This window comes from Homo sapiens, chromosome 11 (assembly GCF_000001405.40).
Source record: "Homo sapiens chromosome 11, GRCh38.p14 Primary Assembly".
In the NCBI taxonomy this organism is placed as follows: domain Eukaryota; kingdom Metazoa; phylum Chordata; class Mammalia; order Primates; family Hominidae; genus Homo; species Homo sapiens.
Window position 1 is genome coordinate 134,423,562 of NC_000011.10, and position 7,109 is coordinate 134,430,670.

A 7,109-nucleotide genomic window follows, 5' to 3' on the forward strand; every position below is an offset into this window, starting at 1 on the left:
CAGCACAGTGAAGACTTTCTGGAAGACAAAGTCCTGCTTTCCAAGTTGGAAAATTCAGTAGCTATGTTAAAGGAGATGGCAAGTACAGAGAAGTAAATCAGTGCCTTAGAAGATCACGTGGAAGACAAATCTCAAATATGCAGCAAAAATGAAGAGTTGGAAATTAGGAGGAGAAATAAGATACTTGGAGGACAGATTCTGGAGGTTTCATATGTAAATAGTAGGCATTCCAGAACGAGAAAAGTGAACAGATGGAGAAGCAATAAATAAAGAAATAATACAGGAAAATCTTTTTGGGTTTGCCAAATACTTGTGTCTGAAGGTTGAGAAAGCTCACTGAGTTCTAGGTGAGACTGACATAAACATACCGCAGAGGCGCAGATTGGAAAATGCACAAAGCATGCCTTCATCCTCTCTGGTCTCCCTGTATCCTGGAGACGAGTGTCTTTATCTAGGTATGTCAAAACTCTTAATACAGGTTGGAGAGGAGCTTGGGGAGAGGTTCCACGGGTCCCATCACTGGGGTGATGGGATGATAGGGGAGAGGAGGGGCTTCAGACCACAAGCTGCCAGGAGTGACTGGATGCAGGTTGATATCCATCCATCCGTCCACAGAAACACACAAAAAGCCAAATCTCAAATGCACGTTGGAGAGGAAGATGTGTTAGGAGCCAGTGTCTCGGTTCAAGCTCAGTCTCGGAGGACTGGGAGCCATGGGCTTATTCCAGACACCTGGGCCTCTTCAGCAGAGGGCAAATTTGCTTCCAGGTGCATGGCTGCCAGTGGTCCTGAGTGGCCCAGTAACACATCACAGCACTGCGGGCAATGGGGCTTAAGAGCTGAGCCAGGATTCCACGTGCCGGCCCATCGCGGTTAATGTATCAGGACAGAGATGCCACAGCATCAGTTTGTGTCTTTCCTAATATCAAGGTACCAGGCAGAGCTCTTTGGAACAAAATACATGGGGATCACAACAAATTTATCAGACAGAGCAGGGCCTTTACCAAAAGCTCTAGTACTGCGGACATCCTGAGAGTGATGTAGCTGCTGACTACCTGGGATCTATGTGTTCCTGCAGCCCAGAATGATTGACGGTTTCAGGAGCAGGAGTGTAATGTTAACTGGGGACAGATAGAGTTGGGTGCTATGGTGAAAGGATCCCTTGGCTGGGCATTCAGAAGTATCACTGTGGTCTCTCCAGCAGGAAGACTTGGGTCGACCCAAGGGTGGCCTTCTGCTGTGCTTTTCACTGAGCTGAGAGCATCAGGGCAGGTCGGGTGAGTAAATGAATACCGACACGCAGTAGTATGCAATCTGGCCACACAACACAGACTTGGAGAGCCTGACAGAACAGAGAGGTCATCTGATCTACCACCCTCCTTCACCTCTTGGACTCACGTATAGGGGTCACAGGCATGTTGGCTAATGTACATATCAGCCCCTACGGTTTAGAAATCACTATCAAGAACATTATCTATTACATCCTTGCATTACTTCCATGAGAGAGTAGGGGTGGGGATTACTGTGCACCCATTTTATAGATGGGATAATTGGGAATTGAGAATCTTTTGCTGATAAAGGAAATAAGAAACTGTAAGGATGAGTGGGCCCCAGTTCTTCACTCCTCTGTGTGTTGGTCCACATCCTTTGACCCTGCGACTGACTGTGCAACTTCCTTTGGACATTGCATGGGTGGAGGTGACCACGAGCCTGTTCTGACATCAGGCCCCAAGGCCTCCTGGGTTTCCACCTTGTCTTCCTCCTCTTTGCTGTGGGAAGAGTTGTTGTGCCCTCAGCCTGGGACCCAGAATAAATACACGTGGAGCAGCCCCCAGCCTCCTGGCAATCCAGGGTCTACAGCTGGAAACTGAGCTGCCTCTGCTTCCCTGCTGATCTGTGAGAACAAACGACTATTGTTTTACACTATTGAGAGTTTCTGAGTTTATTTTTGTTATGCAGAATTTTTATAGCAATAGCTAACTGAGGCTCTTAGAGACAACATGTCACCTCACCCCTTGTGTGCAAAGGAATCACCTGAGGTACCTACTAAAACACTGACTCACTGGGCCCTAGTGGATTCTGATCACTAACTCTGGAGAGGGATCTGGAATCCTATTTTGTGTTGCTCATCTGTGGTTCTTTGAGGTTGTTTGCCTCCCACACTGAAGGGGAAGACCTGTGTTATTTGTCTCACATTCACCAGTGGCTGGTGGGTATGTGGCGCACTTTCAAGAGCAGGACATTTGGCAGTCAGAGTCGAAATATTTCCCCCGTGGCCAGGCTGCAACAGGTGGAGAATGAGTGCGGTGGGGGATTGCGAGTGGGTATAGCCTGAGTATTGAAACTTGGGACCCTCCTCTATGTGCTGTGAAGGGCACAGCTCTAATCTCACAGATTGTTCCGAGAACTTGGTTGATGCTGTTCTCTCAACTGCTTGCAGCTGCCGCTTCCCGGAGTGTGCCACCCCTCCCTGCACACACACATGCCCGCTCGCTCGTGCATACACACACAGGCAAAATGGCACTTTTCTTTCTGCAAAGATCAAATTGGCCTCCTTGTTGCCGGCTCAAAGCAGCTGTTTATTTGTTGTTTTCGTGTTTTCAACTGTTGTGATGAGGTTTGCTTCCTTCTCCTTTAACTGAATTACGTGTCATTTAGCTCTTCAGCGCAAGCCACAGATTGAGCTGGAACCTTCTGTCATGTGGGGCTTCAGATTTCTCCTCCTCCTACAACCCAATTAGATCAGCACAGCCATCAGGCACTGGGGCCCTGAGGCTCCTCACATGGTGTTTCTTTGGCTAGGCCTGTTGTCCTCCCTCCTCCCTGGGAGCTCAGCTTTGCAGGGAGGACCAGGCAGGAAGCTGAGGTTGCCGACAGAAGCATATTCTCTCTCCCAAACTTGTCCTCAGACCCACAGCCTGTGGGTGGCGAGGAATTCAAGAACTTAGATCTGATTTGCCTTAGTTTATAGGTCCAGTGGTGACATTTAGTTGGACCATGTTAGTGTTTAGTTGGGTAAGTGAGAAGGAGAATAGAAACAGGATTGCCAAAGACATGGTGAGGATACATACATGGCTGGAGGCAGCGACATGGACCAAATGTTTTCAGAACCTTTCTTTTACGACTTGGGACCCAAGTTCCATCAACACCAAGTTGGAGGGGCCAGAGAAGCTAGCCATGGGCACATGTTCATTTTCCTGCTGCTGAGCCCTGGACTTCACACCTGCCATTGAGTCCTATTTCTGTCTCTCAGCAGGACTATACCTAGACCATCAGTTGGGTGTGGAGAAATCCATATTGCTTTTATAAGTGATTGGCTTGCTGTGTGACCATTGGCAATCATTAACCCTCTCTGAGCTGGAATCTTTTTAACTCTGAAGTGAGGTGGGTGGGCTGGATGAGCTAGGTCTAAGATTCTTGCTGCCTCTAAATGCCTGTGATTTGCATGCATGGCTGTGTCTAAACTTAGTTACTTCTTAGTTATTCTGCAGTGAACTAGTTTAGCATCACTGTGATAAAGAACCTTGATCCTAAGGTAAATGAGGCATAGTGCTGGGCTTGATAACATTCAAAGGGAACTGGGCAGACTCTGGAACCAACATCCTTAGACCTCAGGTTTATTTGGCAGCTGGTGTGCCTGGGGACTGTGGGGTCAGGAGACTGAGAATTGCAGGGAGGGCATCAGGGCAGGTTTCAGCAGCAGGGAAGCCAGCCAGATGGATTGCCAATGCTGGGGAAAGTTGGGGTAGGCTAAAATCTTGGCAGGTGGGGACTGCTTGGTACAGAGGCACCCAGGAGAAGGTCAGCCTGGCAGGCAGCGGTTGCAGGAAGGCCAGGCAGCTGTGAAACAGGACCTGCCATAGGGACTGAAGTTTCCTAGTCTGTGGAAAGGTCACAGTAAACGTGAGGAAATGAGTGCTGAGCAGCGAACAGAGACGGGGCTCCCATGGAAGGATGAGCATGAGCTGCCACAGGTCCACAGTGTCCATAGTGCATTGGGCCTGCAGGTCCCCCTATCCCCACCATCCCAGCCTCTCATGAGGCGAGAGCATCTTTAGGTGTGGGGACCTCACACTCTCCAAGGCAAACATTTTGATGGCAAGGCCCAGGCACCTTCCCTTTCGTGGGTGTCTGTCGGCCTGGGGTCCTCCCGGGCGAGGCAGGACTGGTCCTCCCTAGCATGCTGGGTCAGGTCTGCAGGGGCATTGGACATTCTCCTCCCCGGCCTCCCCTGCACCCAGCACTTCAACAGGGGCAGGGACGTATCCTGCTAGGAGCCAGAAGCTCACTGCACTCTGCTGAGCCCCACCTAGGTAAATCGCATCTCCTCACAGCAGGATTAACTGATGCAGGAAGATCATATACTTTTCCTTCTTAATGAAAACTCTGTGAAGAAATAAACCCCAAACAGAATTCTGAATAGAGCAGTGCTATTTCTTAGAAGCAGAAGCCAGTGCTTTCTCTTTGTAGCAGGAAAGGAAGGAGGTACATCCAGGCCGCTGTCAGTGGTGCCCCTCCATTCCCTGGGTCTCATGTGGAGCTCAAATGCTCAGGACAGCCTCTCCGAGGGCCTTCAGTGGGTCAAACTCATGTCCAGCCAACTGAGAGGGACCTGAGGGAGATGAGAAAGCAAATTTCTTCTCTCTGTGGAGCCTCTGGGGCAGGGGTAAGGGGCTGCGAAGGAGCCTGTACCCTTGTGGCCCACTGCTGTTGGTGGGGTTGCACGGTTGCTGAGACCCCAACTGGTGGTGAGGACCTGGGGTTCCTCGCAGAATGTTAACCGGCGACGCTTTATCAGTTTTGCTGAGGGTCGCTTTACAGCCTGAATCAGAGCACCAGGAAGTTCACTGTCTGCCTCCGCCCTGCTCCACGGAGATGCCTTTTCCTCTTGGTGGAGCTACAGGTGCTGCATGTAAAAGGCTCTGTTGATTCTCGTGATTGTATTCATTTCAATAACATGCATTCCTTAGACAGGACACCATTTTCCAAACTTTGGTCTAGAAAACATGGTCACCATAAGTAGAACTCAAAATTCAGGAATTTTCTGGCCCAAGCAGGGCCTTGGCCCTCCCAAGGTGAGGTGGGTGCCCCTAGGTTCGCCCCTCCTGCTCCCTCCTGCTCCCTCCTGCTCCCTCCTGCTCCGTTTTCACTCCCAAAGCGAGTACCAGCCACTCTACCTAGGTCCTCAGCACATGGACATCCAGTGGAGCTTGGGTTTGCTGGAATTTGTTTTCAAGGTGAGTGCCTACTATGAGCCAGGCACTGGAGGCCCAAACAAGAGCAAGATTCAGTCCCTGCCCCCCAGGAGCTCACTGTCATGTATGGCAGAGGACTAGAAATGGAGAGATCATGCAATGTGGCAAATTTGCAGAGAGGCTTCTGAGCACCTGGAACTGAGTCTTCAAGGAGCAGCTATACTGGAGGGGGGCCTGGGCACAAGAGTCCTATGCAGGGGGAATGACAGATGCAAGACCCATAGACCCAAGGGGCATGTCATCTACATTTAACTTTTTTTCAGAGAGTCAGGGAGTGCAACTTCCACCTCTGATCCTATTTTCCTAGAAAATAACATTGCAGTGAAAAAAAACCATCCCACAAGAGTCCCCTGGTTCCAGCCCAGAGGCGGCTGCCCAGCTGTGAGAGGCAAAGCCAAACCAGAAAATAGCTCGTCTGCCTGCTGCCCAGTGATGGAGAGCACCCCGGGGGAAGGTTAGCACGGGAGCATCATCATTAGATCAGCAGACAGTGGCTCCGCTCCCAGGCCCAGGCAGCCTGCTGGATCCGCTCTAATGATGGGAATTGGGCAACTAATTACCATGAAGTCACCCCGTATGCAGCCACACGGCAACTGCAGGCTCCGTGGAATCAGTAGACAGGTTCTCCTCTCCTCTGTTCTTTAACAATGAGAGTCTTCACTTGCCTTTTCACGACACTTTGCAGTTGATAAAGAACGTTCATGACCGCCGATTTCTTATTTGCTGTGGGTATTATTTTTCTCATTCACTGGTGAACAAAGGAAGGTTCAAGAGGGGATCAAATTTACATTGTTAGGAGGTGGGGGAGCTGGGATTCGACATTGTTTTTGGACCACATCTCTTTCTGGTTTATCTCTGTGTCTGGCTTGGAAAAAAAGAAAGGAAGAAAATAACATGTATTGACTACCTTCCATGTGTGAGGCACTTTACCTCTGCGAACTCGTTTAATTAATAACACCCATTTTATAAGTTAAGAAACTGAGGCTCAGGGAAGACAAACGATGTGCTCAGTGTTGCACAGCTGGTGAGTGGTGAGTGGAGACTGGGCTTCAGGGCTGTCCGACTGCGCCTTTCCTCTTCCTATGGCATCTCCACCCAGCTCTCCGCCTGTGGGTTGAGATTCTATGGAGCTCTCTTAGGTCTGTGCAATTGAGCCTTGCAGGGGGGTCTGTGATTTTATTTCCTTCATCCAGCACCATACTTGGTGGGTCCTCTGCAACGTCTTGTCTGCTTGGGTACATGGTGGTCTCGGAATTAGAATTCACCTGTGCAGCAGCGAGGACCCTTTTTCTGGACATCCCCGTGGTTCTGCTGCTAGGATTTGTCAGGGCGTGCGGGCTCACCTGAAAGGCCACTGGCCTCCCTGCAGTGTCCATGGCTAGGGCCCTTGTCATCCAGCCTTGGTCCCAAAGACCCGTAGCCAGCGGGAGACCCTTTAGACTCCCCCGTCTTTCTCCAGCTTGTACTTCAGTATTGGGAAAAAGCACCAGGAGGCCGATTCAGTGTCTTAACAAGTGTGTCATCTCCTGCAAGTCTGGGGTATTCGGTTTGACCTTAGAGCCACAGATGGTAATGCAGAACTCAGATCGTATATTATATAATTGGAGTTATACAATTGGGCCAGTAAATGAGGCCTCCCAGAATTTGTTAGTCAGTAAGCAAATGCAGACATGATAGTTTGCAAATTGGCTGGTAAAAACCCAGAGAAAAAAGGAATTTCGGGACCACCTGGTTTAAACTCTTCACTTGGCAAATGCGAAACTGAGGCCCGGAGAGGGGAGGGGGTGCTTCTGCATGTGCCGGTGACACACAGGCAGGCTGAGATTAGGGTTCATGTGTATGGGTGTCCTTCTT

At 50.0% G+C, this 7,109-nt stretch overlaps 2 annotated features.

Annotated features, from left to right (window-relative positions):
• Positions 1,992–2,493: an enhancer, noted in NCBI's record as "H3K4me1 hESC enhancer chr11:134295447-134295948 (GRCh37/hg19 assembly coordinates)". NCBI's record gives its function as "activates a minimal SCP1, AML or CMV promoter by ChIP-STARR-seq in primed H9 embryonic stem cells {active_cell/tissue: H9 hESC(primed)}" and the evidence as "EXISTENCE:reporter gene assay evidence [ECO:0000049][PMID:30033119]".
• Positions 2,494–2,993: an enhancer, noted in NCBI's record as "H3K4me1 hESC enhancer chr11:134295949-134296448 (GRCh37/hg19 assembly coordinates)". NCBI's record gives its function as "activates a minimal SCP1, AML or CMV promoter by ChIP-STARR-seq in primed H9 embryonic stem cells {active_cell/tissue: H9 hESC(primed)}" and the evidence as "EXISTENCE:reporter gene assay evidence [ECO:0000049][PMID:30033119]".